General features: G+C 45.6%; 1 protein-coding gene and 2 long non-coding RNA genes across 52 annotated transcripts in view; 1 reads left to right on the top strand and 2 right to left on the bottom strand.

The window, feature by feature from the left end:
* Positions 1–2,640: 2,640 nt before the first annotated feature.
* LOC107984418 (uncharacterized) lies at positions 2,641–17,840 on the top strand. The gene is made up of 3 exons (XR_001748477.2): positions 2,641–2,729; positions 7,663–7,775; positions 17,258–17,840. It is a non-coding gene; the product is annotated as an uncharacterized LOC107984418 (long non-coding RNA).
* LOC124902643 (uncharacterized) lies at positions 2,729–12,090 on the bottom strand. The gene is made up of 3 exons (XR_007062615.1): positions 11,419–12,090; positions 6,945–7,199; positions 2,729–4,724 (listed from the first exon to the last, which is right to left on the bottom strand). It is a non-coding gene; the product is annotated as an uncharacterized LOC124902643 (long non-coding RNA).
* Positions 13,429–19,292, bottom strand: part of NAV2 (neuron navigator 2) — a 776,366-nt gene continuing 770,502 nt past the window's right edge. For all 50 annotated transcript variants that reach the window (XM_017018520.3, XM_047427824.1, XM_017018522.2 and 47 more), the window contains one exon: positions 13,429–16,897. In XM_017018520.3, the coding sequence (XP_016874009.1) occupies positions 16,772–16,897 (126 nt within the window). In that variant the 3' untranslated portion in view covers positions 13,429–16,771. The remainder of the gene's footprint in view (positions 16,898–19,292) is intronic.

The raw sequence follows: 19,292 nt of genomic DNA, 5'->3' as shown, positions 1-19,292 counted from the left end.
AGGCCTGTACCGTGCCTTTCCTTCATCTCGCCAACTCTTTTCAAATGGTCCTCTTCATGCCTGCCTGGCAAAAGAAAGTGGCCTGTAGCTGAGCAGTATGGTTTGGCATGGTAGCACCTTTAGCCTTTACTTGTCACAATGACTCACGGGTTTTTGTTTTATTCAATTATCTTATGATACGTAGCCACCGTTGCTCTTGTTGATGCTCAGGTCTTTCAGATCTGGCCAGGGATGCCCCTTGAAGCTGGATCCGGTGTTCTCCACTGTTTTTGTTTGTTTGTTTTTAGCACCTCCATGTTTTCTGATACAAGATGTTCAGCCTTGCCTTGTAATTTTTCTGTCAAATACCTGGAATCAGCCACTTCTCTAAGAAGTTCAGGTTTTTAAAATTAGAGAATGGCATTTAGAACTCATGGTGTGGTGGCTGCGATCATTTGTACTATAATATCATTGCTTCTATGCTCTTTCAGGGAACAGATTTATAGCTATCATCTCTCTATCTATCTTTCTGGAGCAAGAGGGAGGTCTTACTAGTAATCTTTAATTTAATACAGCAATGTGGTGTTCTTCCTTTGTTCTCATTCCATATGTTTTCTCCCTTCTCTCTTAGTGAATGAGAATTATTATTCCCCCAAACAATATATTTGCTTTAACATTCCTTAGTCACAAATAGTGCTGGAATTACTACATCAATACCACGACCATCAACACATCTACAAAGCAAAGCACAAGATTATATTCCATTAAAATTATATTCCACTAAATTATTAAAGTTCAATTTGATATACAGTTAGGTCTTTTTTCTGTTGATGTTGACGTTTAAGATATCTTTCCATCCTTGCTGATTAACTTTATTTTCCATGTGCATTCTGTAGAGTTCCCCCTCTGAACTTCCTTGCACTCAACTTCCCTTCATCTCACTCCCTCCTCAACCCCTCTTTCTTTTTCTGCCAGACTGAGTCCTTTAAACTTCTGAGCTTCCTTCTACCTCTCCCTTTCTTTGTTCGCTGTCCTTATTGCATTTCCCCATAGGAGCCTAGTTCTGTTCTAGGGACTAGATCTGTATCATGGAGTGAGCCATGCCTCCAGCTCTCATTTCATGTGGAAGAGATGCAGGGCCACAGCCATCACAGCAGACTGGGGGGCACTCTGTAACAGGGAAGCACAGGACTGCTGGGAGAACAGAGGGGACACTTCTCACCCCATGGTTGGGGAGGGGGGGGCTTGCACTCCTTAGCTGGCTCTCACGCTATAGGAAGAAGAGATATTTCCTTGAGTTTTTCCTTTCATGAAGCACCATTAATAATACTGTCGCCATAGAGTCGCTGAGAGGATTAAATGAGATAGTACACGTTAATTGCTTAGCACAGTGCCTGGCACAGGAAAGGAGTGTTGCACAGGTTGGGTATTACTATGTTATTAGTTCTTCGAATAAGCTTTCTACCCCTTGCTCTTGCTCAGCTCCCACTGTTTTGGTTTTTTTTTTTTTTTTTTTTTTTTTGAGACAGGGTCTCACTCTGTCATGCATGCTGGAGTGCAGTGGCATGATCACGGCTCACTGCAACCTTCATCTCTCAGGCTCAAGCGGTCTTCTAGCCTCAGCCTCCTGAGTAGCTGGGACTACAGGTGCACATCATTGTGCCCAGCTAATATTTTTTTAATTTTTAGTAGAGACGAGGTCTCACTATGTTGTCCAGGCTGGTCTCGAACTCCTGGCCTCAAGCAGTCCTCCCACCTCTGCCTCCCAAAGTGCTGGGATTGCAGGCATGAGCCACATGCTCGGCCTCAGCTCCCTCTTGAACACCAACAATTCCTAGATTTGGTCTTTTGAATTACTTTTGTAGATCTTAGATTTGGTGTTTTGAGTTACTTTTGTAGATCTTGTTGGCGGTCTTCATTCCTTTCAGTTATTTTTTTCCTTTTTTTCCCTCTGGCTGTATTTTCAAATAGCCAGTCTTCAAGCTCACTGATACTTTCCTCTGTTTGGTTCCCTCTGCTGTTGAGAGTCTATCGAGTTCATCAGCAAATGAACTTCAGCGATTCAGCAAATGAACTTCTCAGTTTCAAGATTTGCTTGATTTTTAAAATTACTTTAATATTTTGTTAACTTTGATAAGTTTCTGAAATGCGCTTGTGTGCTATCTCGGAGATCACTGAGTTTCCTTAAAACTGCTATTTTGAATTCTTGGTCAGGGAGCTCACCAATCGCCATGTCGTTAGGCCCAGTCACTGGATTTTTGCTTTGTCCTTTTGCGTAGGTCATGGTCTCCTGCTTGCTGGTGTTTTTGTGGGTATACGCCTGTGTCTTTGCAATGAAGGATTATTTATTCCAGTTTTCTCTGTCTGGCTTGTTTGGGTTTCTGTGGGACATCCTTGCCTAGCGAAGCTTCGCGGCCAGGTCGCTTCCTCTTTTTTGGCTCTAGGTGGCGCCCTAAGCCCAGGTTCGCCTCGTCTCCAATAAAAGGTGGGAGCACGGCCTGTCCCAAACAGGGGAGGTTTCAAAAGGGTTATCCTGGCAGTGTGGGAAGGCTGGCTAGGGGTTTGCGCACAGGGCATCAGAGGAACGTACCTTCTACAGCATGGTGCTGCGGAACAGCCGCTCCAATGCGGCGTCTCCTTTGGCCGAGTTACAGGGCAGAGTTTCCGGGCTGGGGTTGGCCCTCGCCTCCCTTTGTCTCCGACTGTGCTCAGGGATGCCGCTCCCTTCAGTCACAGCCACACCTACTGCGGTAAGGCAAGGACCAGGTCTCCTGCCAGGGGACCCGCGAAGGTGGGGGAGTTGGCGCACCCCCTTAGTTTCAATCGTTCCAGTGTAGAAACCGTGCGTTGGGGAGAGATTCCGCAGGATCGGTGCCAGGCCGAATGTGGATGGGCGGAGGTGTCCTGAACACGGAGGTTCCCTTCCCTCACCATCTGCCCGAGGTTTTCCTCTTTTCTGTGGCCCTGGAACAGTCTCATCCTCAGACTGGAGCTCTGGGTTGCTGCTGGTGTGGATCTGGGCGCTGGGTATTTGTTTCTGGTTGTCGGAGGGAGGGGTATTGGAAGCAGCTTGCCTGACGCTGCCATTTCGGGACTGGAACTCTCCACGCTGCGAGTATTGCTGCACGGTGCGTCACGCCCTCCATGGAGCCACACATGCCGCGGTGCGGTTCCAGGAAGAGCTCCGACGGCATGATTTTGGGTCTTCCCTCAACTACTCAGAACGTATCCCACATCGGTGTCGATACGCACGTGTATTCAATTTTGCCGACGCCACAACCATTCTTGCTTCTGGTAACGCTCTTCAGTTTTTCTTTAGCAACCCTGCCCCCCGCTTCTGGGTCCGTGTGGTCTGGGTGTAGCTGATGATCCCCGTACCCCAGCTCAACGAATGGGCACGGAACCCAGGCACACGAATCCACACCAGGACCCACTACGTAATAATCTGCAGGACCCGGTGCAGATGAAAATGCAGGGCTCCTTGTTCGAAAAGTATGAAGAATGACAAAGCTTTGCCCAGAGGTTCATGCCTGTAATCCCAGCACCTTGGGAGGCTGAGGTGGGAGGATGGCTTGAGCCCAGGACTTTGAGGCTGCAGTGAGCCGAGATTGGGCCATTGCACTGAAGCCTGGGTGACAGAGAATGAGAAACTTTCTCTTTTTCTTTTCTTTCTGAGACAAAGTCTCACTTTGTCACCCAGGCTGGAGTGCAGTGGCATGATCTCAGCTCACTGCAACCTCCACCTCCCAGGTTCAAATGATTCTCCTGCCTCAGCCTCCTGAGTAGCTGGAATTACAGGTGGCTGCCAACATGTCCAGCTAATTTTTTTTTTATTTTTTTTTATTTTTAGTAGAGACAGGGTTTCATTGCGTTGGCCAGGCTAGTCTCGAACTCCTGACCTCAGGTGATCCACCCGCTTTGGCCTCCCAAAGTGCTGGGATTACAGGTGTCAGCCACCATGCCTAGCCCCTTTCTCTTAAAAAATAAAAGGAAGAAGAAGTGTTCCACTGAAAAAGTGACCAGAGCCAAGAGGCTCAGAAACTGTAACTGAACCCAAAAAACCCTCCAAGCCTCTGCATCGCAGTGGTGCCTGAGGCAGGTCCAGCGCTCACTTGAGATACAGAGCAAAGAAAAGTCAAGGAAGCAAGGGGATGGGTCAGCAGTGAGGGAGGGCTCACTGATGTGTTGCCTTTGCTTCACACCTGACTGTCCTGAGCCCACAGATGGGAAGTGAGTCCCCACAGGGAATGCAGCAACTTCATGGAAATGAGCCCGCAGATGGGAAATGAGTCCCTACAGGGAATGCAGCAAGTTCATGGAAATGTCTAAACTGAAACCCAGGTCCCCTAGCCGCAATCCAATCACAGGAAACTACATTGGTCTTTACTAGACAGGAGGCCAGAAATAAATTCCAGCCTGGCAAGATCTGGGGCAACTGCTATGGTTTGAATGTGTCCCTCAAAGTCTGTGTATTGGAAATGCAATCCCCAAGGCAACAGTGCTGGGAGGTGGGACCTTGGAGAGGTGATTAGGTCATGATGGCTCTGCCCTCACGAGTGGCTTAATGCTGTTATTGAAGGAGTGGGTTGTGGGTTAGTTTTTGCAAAAGTGGGTCCCTTGTAAAAGGATGAGTTCAGTCGCCTCACCCCTTTCTCTCTCTCTTACCTTTCTGCCTTCTGCCATGGGATGATGCGGCAAGAAGGTCCTTGCCCAGAGTTCAGGCGCCTTGACCATAGACTTCTCACCTTCCACAAAAAATAAATATCTGTTCATTATAAATTACCCAGTCTCAGGTATTCTGTTATTGCAGCATAAAACAAAGACAGTGACCTTTTAAAAACAGCTGTGATAACGATTGCTGTTCAGTTAGGAAGAGTGGACAGTGGCTGCTAATGTCAGGGTTCAGAAAACGATATCCCAAAGTATGGTGTCTTGGCATGCTGAGTGCTTTGAACTGAATGACACTGAAAGGGTTTCATAAACAAAGTCTTTTTCTGTCCTTTTTCCTTTTTCTTCTGCTAACCTTTCTCCTCCAAGTCAGGCCATAAAAACTAGAATTCCTTTTCCCCAAAGCCAGCCATAAAACCTAGAAACACGACTTTAACTTTCCCCTGCCTTTCTGTGTAAGAGCTGGCCATAAAGAAATTCTCTGACCTACCTTGTCTGATAGCAGATAATAAGACCCTTATTCCAGAAGGGACCTTGCCCCATACCAGGGAGGAAGGAACGGCACACAGAGAGGCCAAGAAGAATCTGAAGTCGGGCCTTGCTAGGTTTCCCCACTCCGCCTATTAGCATTAGATCATACCCTTTCTGTCCAATCATCCAATCACATTTCTACATGGCTGTGCATTCTTCATGGGGTCTAAGGCTAAAAACAGACAGTTTTCTCTTGAGTTTTTAGGTCTTTATTCTGAAAGCTCCTGTGTCACATAAAACTTTAAGTCAATTTGTTATGCTTTTCTCTTGTTGTCTTTTGTTATAGGAGTGTCATTCGTGAGTCTTATGATGGGTGAAGAAAGGTATCATACCTTTCCACCCCTACACTGAGAAGGACACTTATAGCATCACCTGCAGGTTAATATTGTCATGTCTATTTTACAGATTTGCAAGCTGAGCTCAGAGAGAGCTGCACCATTTGCCCAGGGTCACAGCTTGCAAACAGTGGAGCCCTGATTTGACTCTAGAGTCTGGGGCCTAACTGCTCCCCTAGTTGCCTGGGAAGGGAAGTTAGAGCACCTGGATTCTTATTCTGGCAGCATCATTAGCTCAGGGTCCATTCTGAGACAGTTTCCCTTCCTAAGTGTCACTATACCTTCTGGGCCTCACCTGCAAGGCCAAGGCAGAATGCCAGTGGGGTCATGGATGTGAATGCATAGTCAGCAGTGGCTGGTAGGGATGCAGGCTGGTATAGGAGCAAGACTCCATGCTTTCTGGCAGGGCCTGGGTTCAAATCCTTACTCTGTCTCTGATTAGCAAGACCTTGCCCAAGTCCCTTGACCAATCATGAGACAGAGGATGACACCAACCTCACGCGATTGTTATGCAGATCACATGCTCCACGAAGGCAGGCTGCTTGGCTTAAGAAGATGCCTGACACACATCAATTCCTTTTCCTATCTCCTTTATAGAGAATGTAGCTTCATTCTCCAAGCATGAGGTAGAGGGAAAAATAGTATGCTCGACCTTCTGAGGGTCCTTTTGATTTTATTTTGAGACAGAGTCTTGCTCTGTCGCCTAGGCTGGAGTGTAGTGGCTCAGTCTTGGCTCACTGCAACCTCTGCCTCCTGGGTTCAAGTGATTCTTCTGCCTCAGTCTCCTGAATAGCTGGGATTATAGGCGTGCGCCACCACACCTGGCTAATTTTTATATTTTTAGTAGAGATGGGGTTTGGCCGTGATGGCCGTGCCGGTCTCAAACTCCTGACCTCAGGTGATCCACTGGCCTCGGCCTCCTAAAGTGCTGGGATTACAGGTGTGAGCCACCACACCAGGGCCCAATCCTTTTAAAAATACTCTAACTAAATCTGAGAGAGAGCTGAATTTACTGCTTTGCAGGTCCACCCGTAAAGTCAGGGCCTGCCTGAGGATGGCATTGCTTGGGCTTTGCTGCCCTCTTGTGGCCACTGTGAGGTCGAAGGAGCTGCCCCTAATTGCGGCCCTGGAATATAGGAGTTGGGGGAGGACTGTATTCCTGATTCCCCACCCCGGGACATTCTGATCCAGCAGCAATAGGGGAGGTTCTGTGTCACTGGTGATAAGCCACATTAAGGAACCATTGAACTAGTCCAATCCCTCATTAGAGAGGAAGACTATGTCCCTGAGGGTGGATAGGACTTCTCTGAGAGTAGCAGCTAGGGTAGGCTAAGTAACTCAGGTCTCCAGACCTCAACACCCTTTCCACTATCTCCCCTGCACAAGGCAATCCTGCCAGGTGAACAAAGCTTCCGAGACATCTGGACCCACCTGTCACCCAGGGCGAGGATTCGTCCGCTGCTTCGGTCAGGTCGTTCTCCAGCCTTTGTGTGAACTCCAGTGGTGACAGGGCGCTCAGTATCCCGTTAAAGCAGCCTATTCCTGTGGCCCTTAGGACGTTTTCCTTTGTATGGGGTCTTGATGTGCCTGTCTGCATCCTCCCCTGTTGGGCCTAATTCTGGCCTTAGAGGCTCTGCAGCTCCATCCTCTGACTCCTGCAGAGACTGCAGAGGCAAGCAATCACAGCTAGGAGAATGAAGAAGATGGAGTCAGTGTTTCATGGCATCTGGCACACGTGATGCATCACCTTCCTCAATCCTGCAAGACAGGGGAGTGGCATTAACTTGTCCAAGCTCACACATCAGTTAGTGTCAAGGTGGACAAAGCGTCCTCGATTTATGCATTCAGGAACCGACATACTGCTGAGAATTCAAGCAGTGAGTTAGTGATGGGGTGAAGGCCAAAGCCGGTGCTCAAGGGCAGCATTCTCAGCTGCACTGCAGCTTTCACTGATGGCCAGGTGGGCAGCCTGGGGTCGTGTTTACTTTCTAAAAACCTTCTGGTGCACAAAACAAAGACATATAGCTCAAAGATCTACAACAAAGCAAACACTTGTGTCACCACCACCTGTCTTGGTCTGTTAAGGATGCTATAACAGAAATACCATAAACTGGGTGGCTTTTAAACAACAGAAAATTTTTTCTTCCAGATCTGGAAGCTGGGAAGCCCACAATCAAGTCACCAGCAGACTTGGCATCTGGTGAAGGATTACTCTCTGGTTCATAGGTGGCTTCTGTGCTCTGTGTCCTCACACAGTGGAAGGTACTAGCTAGCTCTGTGGCTTCTTTTTTAAGGGCACTAATCTCATTCATGACAGTGGATTCCCATGACCTAATCACCCCGTAAGGGCCCATTTCCTCATATTAACACATTGGGATTTAGGTTTCATTTTATGAATTTTGGAGGGATACAAACACTCAGACCGTAGCACCACCCAAGTCAAGAAGGAGGACACGTGCCAGCACCCAAAAGCAACTTTCCACCCCTCCCAACAGCTGCCCCTCCCTTCTCGCTTTCCTTTATATATCTATGATCTAAGCCTGCACTCACTCCTGAAGGCTATTGTGAACTTTATAGACGTGGAATCATACATTTGGCATGAGTTTGTGTCTGGCGGTTTTCACTCAACATTTACTCAACATTCATCCACATACATTTTCACTGTAGGGTGACAGTGACGGATCACAATTTCATTTGTCCTATCAGCGGACGTGTGGGTTGTTTCCAGTTTTTGTAATTATGAATAGTGCTGCTATGAACATTTGTGTCTATGTTTCTTGGCCCATATATGTATGCTTTTCTGTTGGATAAATGATTGTGCTAGTTTCCTAGGGCTACCATAACTAAGTGCCACCCCCAAGGTGACTTCACACAATGGAAGCGTATTCTCTCGAGGTTCTGGATGACGGAGGTCTGAAGTCAGGGTGTCAGCAGGACTATGTTCCCTCTGAGACTGTGGGCACTTGCTTCTACTTGACTCCTTTCTGTGCCTCCATTTTCTCATGGCATTCGTCTCTTGGATCTTCACATTGTCTTCTTATGAGGAAACTCGTCAGATTAGATGAAAGGCCTACCTTACTCTAGTGAGACCCCATCTTAATTAATTACACCTGCAACCACTCTGTTCCTAAATAAGGCCACATTCTGTGCTGGGGTTTAGGACTTCAACCTGTCTTTTTGGGGGACACAGCTCACTTAACCCATAACAATAAGAGGAATTGCTGAGTTGTCTTAGCAGATCCTGAGAAAGGAGTTGAGTGCAGATCATTTGTGCTGTGGTGCCAGGAAGCATGGCTGAGGCTGGGGCCAGGACTAGCCTCTCCTGAGGCAAGTGAGGTGAGTCGGTGCAAAATTTAAAGGGGACTCCCAGGGCTGCGCCCTCGGTGCTGACTCATCATCATTCCAGCTCTGAGGGAGGGAGTAGGAAAATGTGACAAGGAAGGGAGAAATTCCAGCTGAGTTTCCTTCATTATGACTGTGGGCGACGTGGCGTTCAGTCCCACTGGAGATCCTCTAATGCACCTTGTGGAGGGTGCCTCCCATGCCTCCCACTTGTCCCACAGAAGGATGAGAAAGCTGGGCATAGGCTGCCCCTGGGCCACTAAGTCCCTAGTCCTTGTGGGCCGCTCTGCCCCAGGACTGGACAACCTTCTGCAGCACTGGAGAAAGGTCCCAGGTAGAGAAGCAGAGAGACACAGGTGCTTGAGATGGACCACTGTGAGCATGCCAGGGGTTGTCCACTGGAAGTTCGGGTGAAGTCAGGCTGAAGGGGTACAAATTAAGGAATTTCTTTTTTTTTGAGACAGAGTCTCGCTCTGTCACCCAGGCTGGAGTATGATGATGCAGTCTCAGCTCACTGCAACCTCCACCTCCAGGGTTCAAGCGATTCTCCTGCCTCGGCCTCCCAAGTAGCTGGGATTACAGGAGCCTGCCACCACGCTTGGCTAATTTTTGTATTTTTAGTAGAGACAGTGTTTCACCATGTTGGCCAGGCTGGTCTTGAACTGCTGACCTCATGATCTGCCCACCTCGGCCCCCCAAAGTGCTGGGATTACAGGCGTGAGCCACTGGGCCTGGCCCAAATTAAGGAATTATTGATGTCTGCTACAACCCATCTGTTATACCCCAGACACATGTATTCCAGCTATTGGGCATTCAACAGTAAATTACAACAGGCACAGTGGCTAACACCTGTAACCTCAGCACTTTGGGAGGCTGAGGCTGGAGGATCACTTGAGGCCAGGAGTTTGACATCAGCCAGGGCAACATAGTGAGACCCCATCTCTACTCAAATATTTTTAAAAAATTAGCTGGGGCCAGGCATGGTGGCTCACACCTGTAATCCCAGCAATTTGGGAGGCCGAGGCAGGCAGATCACTTGAGGACGGTAGTTCCAGACCAACCTGGCCAACTTGGCAAACCCCATCTCTACTAAAAATGCAAAAAATTAGCTGGGCATGGTGCCATGCACCTGTAATCCCAGCTACTTGGGAGGCTGAGCCAAAAGAATCGCTTGAACCTGGGAGGCGGAGGTTGCAGTGAGCCAAGATCGTACCACCACACTCCAGCCTGGGTGACAGAGAGAGACTCCATCTCAAAAAAAAAAAAAAAAAAAAATTAGCTGGGTTTAGTGGTGTGTGTCTGTGGTCCCAGCCACTCAGGAGGCTGGGGCAGGAGGATCGATTGAGGCCAGGAGGTGGAGGCTGCAATAAGCTATAATCACGCCACTGCACTCAAGCCTGGGTGACAGAGTAAGACCCAGTCTCCAAAACAAAAACCAACAAACAACAAATAATGGCTGACCGTTGAAAATTTATACTGTTTCCTAGATGACAGTGCTCTAACACAAAATGTCTTTCCTGAGCTGGTGCCTTAGTTACACTAACCTTGAAGAGGGCAGTCCAACCTTCGGCTTTAGAGTAAAAACCAGTGGATCCCATTGTCATGTGTTCTTTGTCACATTTTCTTTGCTTCTGAGACATTATTCATGATTCCATATAGCAAAGCAAGTGTGTGTTGGGTTTATTTCAGGGGTGTCTATCCTGTTCTTTTTAACTATTTGTCAATTCTTATACCAATAGCATAAGGTCTTAATGACCTTTATAATAAGTCTTGATTTTTGGTAGAAAAAACTCTCTCTTCTTGTTCTTGTTCATTGGCTATGCTTCACCTGTTGCATTTCCATTAAGTTTCCATGCATTTCCATGTAAGTTTTAGAATCATTTTGTCAATTCTATAAAAACTCTGTTGGGCTTTTAAATGAGATTGCATCAAATCTCATTTTGCAGGGATTGACGTGTTCACAACATGTATTCTAACTCAAAAGCATAATATTTTCCTACTTTTATTTGGGGTTTAATTTCTCTCAACTATGTTTAATAGGTTTCTTTATAGAAGTCTTGCACACCTTATATTGCATTTATTCTGCAGTGTTTGACATTTGTGCTCTTAAATTGTTTTTTTTTTTTTTTTTCTGAGATGGAGTCTTGCTCTGTCCCCAGGCTGGAGTGCAGAGGTGCGATCTCGGCTCACTGCAAGCTCCGCCTCCCGGGTTCACGCCATTCTCCTGCCTCAGCCTCCCCAGTAGCTGGGACTACAGGCACCCGCCACCACACCTGGCTAATTTTTTCTATTTTTTAGTAGAGATGGGGTTTCACCATGTTAGCCAGGATGGTCTCCATCTCCGGACCTCGTGATCCGCCCGCCTCGGCCTCCCAAAGTACTAGGGTTACAGGCGTGGGCCACCGTGCCCAGCCTAAATTGGTATTCTTAAAAATTTAAAACTTCTGGCAACATATAGATGTTCAACTGATTTTTATGTACTGACTTTGAAAACTTAGTTACCTTATTATTTCTAATAACTTACCGGTAAATTCTGTTGCATAATCTAAATACAAAGTGTTACCTGTGAATAAAGACTGTTGAATTTCTTCCTTTTCCAATCCTCATAATTTATTTTTCTTGTTTCTCTGTATTGACTAGGATCTCTACCACAATATTCAGTGGTGGTAAGAGACATCTTTATCTGTTTCTTAATCTGCAAGGAAAAACATTTAACATTTTACCATTAAATATGATTTATATTGTTCTTGCTTTTAAATATTTTCTTCCTTGCAAATTTTATTTCAGACATGTTGACTACAGCTCTGTGGGAAACCCTGAGGCACAGTACTCAACAAGACATACCTGAACCCCTGATCCACAGAAACTGTTAGAAAATGTTCTGCTGTAAGCTGCCAAATTTGGGGTTAATTTGTTACACAGCAATAAAGAGCTAATGCAGAAGGGATGTGTAATCCTCCATCGAAGTCCTATCTAAGTTGATTGTAGCTTAGCGTAGCAGAAAAGGCATGGGTTTTGAATCAGATATACCAAGAATTCCATTTCTACTATGTATTAATTTAACATTACTCAGCCTCAGTTTTCTTAACTATAAAATGGAGATAATCACACCTGCCTCTTAGAGGTGCTGTAATTATATGTGATAGAGTGAAATTTTCTATACGTCTGGTACCCAGTGAGTACGTAAATGCAGTTATGCAGTTCCTGTCCTTCCCTTCTTCTTTTTTTTTTTTTTTTTTTTTTTTTTGACAGAGTCTTGCTCTGTTGCCCAGGCTGGAGTGCAGTGACGTGATTCTTGGCTCACTGCAACCTCCGCCTCCTTGGTTCAAGTGATTCTCGTGCCTCGGCCTCCTGAGTAGCTGGGACTACAGGCACGTGCCACCACGCCCAGCTAATTTTTTGTATTTTTAGTAGAGAGGGGCTTTCACCATGTTGCCAGGATGGTCTTGAACTCCTGGGCTCAGGTAATCCACCTGCCTTGGCCTCCCAAAGTGTTGGGATTACAGGCGTGAGCCACCGCACCTGGCTCTTCCCTGCTCTTTAAAAAGCCATCTGTCCACCATCCCCTTTATGTATGCTGATCATATTTCCTAGGTAACCTCAGAATATATCATGGAGCAATGGGATAGAATGTTTGACATAGAATCTTGGAATTCAGGACATCTAGTCGTCAGACTTGTACTACCCCTTCTTTATTATTTTTTTGACAGGGATTAAAACTGCCTATGCTAAATATCTGGATTCTTTACCTCCTCCCTGGTTGGGCCACTGTTGTATGTTAAGAGTTAGACACTTCATGTCGTGAGCAGTTGAGCCAGCCATGTGGGATCAATTTCACTGTGAACCCACAGGACTCCAAACCATGCCTTTTTTGTTGTTGCTATTCAAAGTGAATGCTGAGATGTAAGGTCATCTCCCACTGCCTGTGTCTGCTATGGATGTGAGCTGCAATGTGACAGGAGGCCCCCAAGATTAGAAGGCAGCCTGGCAAGGCAGGACGGTCAGAAGATGGGGCTGAAACTCCAACTCACTTCTTGGCTATAGGTTCCTTGGCACGTCATTTTCTCTGTTTTTTTTTTTTTTTTTCCACTTGTAAAATGGGAGTAAGAATACCTCTCTGGCATCATTTTGCATTATACTGAGTATTTGGGAAAGCATTTGGAAATTAGTAGGTACTCAATACATTAAAAAAAAATCCTTTTCATGCCAAGGGATCGACTTAGGGGGCTGGCTGGACACTGATGTTGCTTGCCACTCAATGTGTGGTCCAGGCACTAGAGCACTGGTATTGCCTAGGAGTTTGTTAGAAATTGAGGATCCACTAGATCCCTGGTGATTCATAAAGTCTGAGAGGATCTGAAATTCTACAGTTCTAACAAGCTCCACAGGAGTGGCAAGAAGACCTGAGAAACTGAGAAGATGTGGGATATTGATGGCATACTAGCCAAGATGGGTTTGCAAAGGTTTGGGGTTTTCCCTGCATTTGCTGCATCCAGATAAGACTGACTTGCTCTTAGCATGAAATAAAACTCCTATGAGGACTTGCTCTAGCACAGACAAGCCAAACCACTAATCTGAATAAATAAGCATCAATTTTATTGAATCATGAATAATTTAAGACTGGTACAATCATCAGCTTTATTCTCTATGACATGGGGCATGATGTCCAGCAGATCATTGGCAAATCCAAAAACCTCATGACAAATGAAAATTAAATAGGTAGGAAGAGAGAGAGAGGAGGGGAGGAGGAAGGGGAGGGAGGATGGAAACATACCGTACACAAAATACTCAATTCCTAGTTTTCTCTTTAAAAATGGCTAGAAAAAATTCATCAAAATGCAGCACTTTAATCAATTATTTACAATTTCTATGTTACAATGAAAAAATGTACATCTTATAGAACATATTTCATAAAACTGCTCCACTGGAAACAACTAGATCAAAACAGCAAACCTTCCATTTAATATCCACAAAGTTGGATTATTTTTCCTTTTTGAAGTAGATTCGCCACAATCAAATTTGAATACAGAGAATTTTGAAGTTTAAGCATCAAACAACAAAGTAAAAGTCCCCAAGATACAACAAAGATCTAGGCAAGTCTTGTTCCTGTCCCACTCCCACCCCACCCCTAATGAAACTTAAAAGGTATTCCCATTTCAATTATGGCCTGTATCATTCTTGGCAGTTTGGGAAGAGAACTTTTGGCTTCCATTGGTAACTCAACATAAATGTTGCATAGAATTTATATATTTCAAAATTGGCCTAACTGTAGAAAAGGCAAAATGGAAGCATTTCCGATAGAGCCCTAAATGAGTACAAAGTCACTTTGTAAAAGGTGAGTGACACTAAAGTAAAAATATGACCAAAATAAGAAATGTGCATATTAGACAACCCTGCTTCCCGAAACTTTAGGAAGGACACGGAGTTGTGAGTCACACAAGGGCTATGCTACTTGAAGTCAATGTTCACCAATCAGGCAGCACTAGGTACAGAAGTCTTGGTTCTGAACCTGGACCCAGGAGGGAAGTCTGTGGGAAAGGGGAGAAGAGAATGACAAGAGAGGATGTCATATTAAAAAAAGGTTTCAAACAATATTGGCAGGTGTCTACTCACAAGGTGATTGGAAAACTGCCCACGAGGAGAAGTCAACTTTACCTCCTCCCAAATTCACAGTACGCGAGTGTAGTAGGGTCATTGCTGGGAGATAAATTGTCTGAGGAGGGCCACCCTTCAGGTTTACCAGAAATCTTAGGGTTTGGCCCCCCTGGTCACAGGCTAAATATATGGTTTAAAAGTTTTATTAAAAAGAAAAACAGAACAAGACACACTCACACCCAGATGACTAATGAAGGCTAAGCAGAATAGTCTGAGTTTGCTGAGACTAAAGCAGGGATAGTGTTGAAAAGTTTTCCTTTCACTAGTGGGACACATTCCCCTTTTCTTTTCAAAGAGGAAGAACATGGTGTCATCCAATGTGAAGTGAGCAGTTTCGGGTCAAACTCTTATGGTAAGAAACTAAAAAAAGATGCCAAGAGACAAACCTTCAGAAATAGAAGAAATGCAAAAGATGGAATAAAAACCCTGATCATTAAAACAGAGACACCTTCACTGGTGTCCAATAAGGATTCTCTTTACAAAACAGAAACAAACAACTCAAAAATTTACCATACTTTGTAATGAAAATACCAGTATGTTGAAGACACAGCAGACTGGGTTTCTATTAGAACAAGTATCAGCAAGGTCATGTAGACTTGTAGAAACTTTTGCCTTCTCCTGCACCAGACAGATCATTGTCCAGTTGGGTTGTCAGCTGGAGACCGAAAAGAACCTAAAAAATGGATCTTTTTTTTTTTCTTTTTCCCATGGTCACGCATCCACACAAATGAGTCTTTTGGATGAGAAAAGTCACAGCAACTTGAGTTCTCCTAATGAACAGATGACTTTTTAGCCCTGTTTGTTTCAATGGGGAAAACAATGACAAAAAAAACAAACCCCAGGCAGGCACGACACTTATGTAAAATGAACACAGTTAGTACAAAACCAGTAAGGCATCACTTTGGGAAGGTCAGCACCGAAGAGGTCAGGCAAGGCTCGTCCAGACGGGGCTTCTGGGAGGGAGTGACCCTCACCCTTATTGAGCTGCGTCATGTTGGTTCTGAGGAAAGTGCAAGTCTTTTGCAGGGTGACCGCATCACCCCACCGGAAGCTGGGGCGGGGACGCTGGAGGTGTTGGTGTGTGTTCTAAACCCTCAAGGACGAGAAGGGAAGGCAAGGTCCATGGCTCACCCACATGTCGAGGACCAGGTCCTCATCCATTTTAAAGGACACAGATACCCCCAGCCCTAGCAGGAGGAGGCGAGTGTGTAGGACTGTGAGGATGGACAACTAAAAACCAAAACTGAGCAGGACCAAACCAAAACTCAACTCCTGCGGTTCTTACTTTCACCAAAGGATTGATTCTGACCAAGAGGGGAAGGGGGAAAAAAAAATCTTCAAAAATCAATGCATCAGAAAGGAAGAAACTCAACCTCATTTTCAAAAGGTAACCTGTTCTCCAAAGTAGAACAAGTCTCACTATACACAGTGTTTGCAGAAAAAAAAAAAAAAAAACCTGATTCATTCATATATCAGAAGGAAAGAGACACATGCTGTTCTGCACTGACAGCCACATCCACTCGCTCACACTCTCACTCCGTCACTCACTCTCACGGATATTAATCAGAGGCTGATGGACCTGAATGGGGTGGTTTGATTGGAACAGGCAAAATACCTCTCGGGTAAGGAAAGCACCATTTAAAAAACATGAAAGCACGGTTTATTTGCTCCTAAGGTTTCCCTGTGTCGTAGCTCTGTAGTGCGTTGAACGTGACCAAAGCAAGCACCCTGGTTAGCACCAGTTCTCCCTGTGGCCGGCTGTGTGGGAGGGTGGGTGGCACGGCTCTGAGACCCAGTCTGGAGGGTCTGTGCTGAGGGGAAGCCGTGCTTCTCTGTGTTTCCGACTTTGCTCCAGTCTCTTCTGTCTCTGGGAAGCTCATGGCAGGATGCTGTTTGGTTTCAGAGCTTCATGTGGGTTCTCTTTTTTTTTTTCTCTCTGTCTCTCTTTTCATTTCAACGGCGATGATCCTTTCCCGAGAAGTATCTTCAGTGTCTTAGGGAGGTCACAGCAACAAGGCAAAACAATAATTAAAGTACAACAGAAGGTAGTGCAGTTCTCGCTGTGGAAGGAAGCGGTCCGCAGGCAGCTGGCCCGGGATGCCTGCACCCAGGTCGAGGCTGAAGGACGGGGGGTCTCGGTGTTCCCGCAGCTCTAAGGCTGTGGCTGGGGGCTGGCTCAGGAAGTCATCTTCAGGGTGATGTGGGGGATGCAGGTGGAATGCGGTGAGGAGAAGAGGAGGGCGCTGGGCTCCGGGCCCCTGTCACAGAGTGGACTCCAAAGAGGAGTCCAAGATGTCATCGTGATGGCTGTTGCTGTTGGAGTCGCTGTCATAGCTCTGGGGGCTGGAGTAGTTGGCTGCCTCCTGCAGCCTCATCAGCATGTTCATCTAGGGGAAGAGTGGAGAAGCATGAGCTGCTTTCTGTCTAGTTGGCCGCCCACCCTGGACTCCTAAAAGGTCATGCCACCTCCTCCAGACTCACCTGGGATAACAGCCCACAGTGGAGGCAGTGGACAAGAACATGGACTTTGGGCCAGGCTTCTAGGGTTCAAATCCCAGCTTCACCAATTACTAGCTGCATGACTTTGAACACATTACTTAACCTCTTTATACTTGTTTCTTTACTGGTCAAATGTGAATAATAATAGTACCTGCCCTATAATGTTATGGGTGGATTGAGTTAATATACGTAGAGCACTGAAAACAAAATGATGATCTCTATACATAGCTTATTTATTTTTTATTTAGGAGGGGCACACCTTTCAGGCCTAGCCCTCGGCCTGGATGAAGGTGTGGCTGAGCATCCCTGTTCCTGGAACTTGGCATCAGCATCACTGACATCGGAAGCACATGGACCCCCTCCCACTTCAACAAGCATCAAACCCATCTCTTCTCCTTGCTCTGGCCAGGTCAGACTGGAGCCAACTGTGCTGCAGCTCCTGTGGAAGCCTTGGCAGGGAGGTGAGGGGGAGCACCAGTTACAAGCAAAGGCTCCGAGTGCAAAGAGCCTTCGCTTATGATTCAGGAATCTCTGGGCAAGTTACCTAAGGTATCTGAGCCAGCAGTTCGTCATCTGTGGAATGGGGAGAATGGCAACACTTCTCATAGGGTTGAAGTAGGGAATAAAATGATATAATGTGTATTAAACCCTTAGAAAAGGGGCTGGCCTGGCATATAGTAAGCGCTTAATAAATGTCATCTGTTGTCATCATCATCTAACTTAAAAGAGTTTAGCGACAGTGTTCTTGAATCTGCCCTTGTTTACATACTACGGGTCACTTGTTTGGGAGTGGGAGAGGGAATAAAAACTACTTTTATTTATAACTGTAAATTGTGTGTATGTATTTTATATTTCATATAGGAAGTAAGTCAGGAATATGGGGCCTCTCTGAGCTAGGGCCAAGATGTGGTGCAGCTGGGCATACAATCCAGCTGCCCCTCAGGATGCTTTGCAGAGTCTACCCAGATGCGCCAGGCTGCAGAAGCACCATCATCTGGTGTCCATCTGCACAGCCATAACTAGGGAAGAGGCAGAGCTGAAGTATAATGGACAATCCTTGGCAACTGGGATTACTTATTCACTCATTAAACACTCCCAGTGTGTCCACAGTATATGGTTCTGGAACAAAAGCAAGTAAATTCTGTTTTCATGGAAGTCTCAGTCTCATGAGTGAGAAGGATTAATACAGAAGAGAGCTATGATAATAGAGACATATGGCCCTGGGCAGAAAGAGCAGAACTGAGGAGAAATACCAAATATCTAACTCGGTAATGGAAGTGGCTGGACTGGCACAGCTCACTTCTGGGGGCCTGGGGTTGGAAGGAGAAATCTGTTTCTGCATTTCCAAGAATCCTGGGTCTTACCTACACACCTTCTGTGTCCAACCAGTGATACAAATGTTACTGGCTCAGAAAAGATTGTTTAGGGATGGGCTGGCCATTCTTTCCTCTAAATATACTAAATTCTATTTTCTATGTAAGTTAAGACCTCATGAGTTTGCCCCTGCAAAAAATACCTCCGTGACTTTGGCTTTCAGCAATGGTTAACGTTGCAAACGGCTGTTTAAAGTATGCTTCTTTCCTTTGTAAGACTACTGTTATAAATATTGCAAACTAGGTTGTACATGGCAACACAAATAATAAATCCTTAAAAAATACAGTTCCCACTGCAATCTTCAACAGAACCACAGCTACATCCCACCAAACAGTAGGATGGCAGACAACCTGAATCGCCTATTAATATTATTATTATTTTTTTAATCTAGGGACTTAATTAGCTGCTAGGAATAGAACAGTAAATCAGTTGTCTTTTAATCCTGCTACATCTCTTATAATATTTTCTTTCATTAGGTAATGTAAATAATATTCTCTGTTATGTTTTCTTTTTGCTATGCCTGCCAAGAAAGCTTGGGGCTAAATTTAAGGCATGATAATAGTCCTTTAACCATGGGAGGTTTTGGTATATTTGCTTCCTTTTTATTTTACTGGGCTTTTGATTTGTTAGGTCTAATTTAGCAGTGTGACTCTGTGTGGGTCTTATATTGGTAGAGTACTACAATCGATTAGAAATACTACTGTTATTGGCCCGGGTGTTTCTTTTGTTTGTTTGAGACAAGGTTTGGTTCTATCAACCAGGCTGGAGTGCAGTGGCACAATCTTGGCTCACTGCAAACTCTGCCTCCCAGGCTCAAGCCCTCCTCCCACCTCAGCCTCCTGAGTAGCTGGGACTATAGGCATGTGCCACCATGCCCAGTTAATTTTTGTATTTTTTGTAGAGAAGAGG

The sequence above is a fragment of the Homo sapiens genome, chromosome 11 (genome assembly GCF_000001405.40).
Source record: "Homo sapiens chromosome 11, GRCh38.p14 Primary Assembly".
Classification (NCBI taxonomy): domain Eukaryota; kingdom Metazoa; phylum Chordata; class Mammalia; order Primates; family Hominidae; genus Homo; species Homo sapiens.
This window is presented reverse-complemented; position numbering and strand designations above follow the sequence as displayed.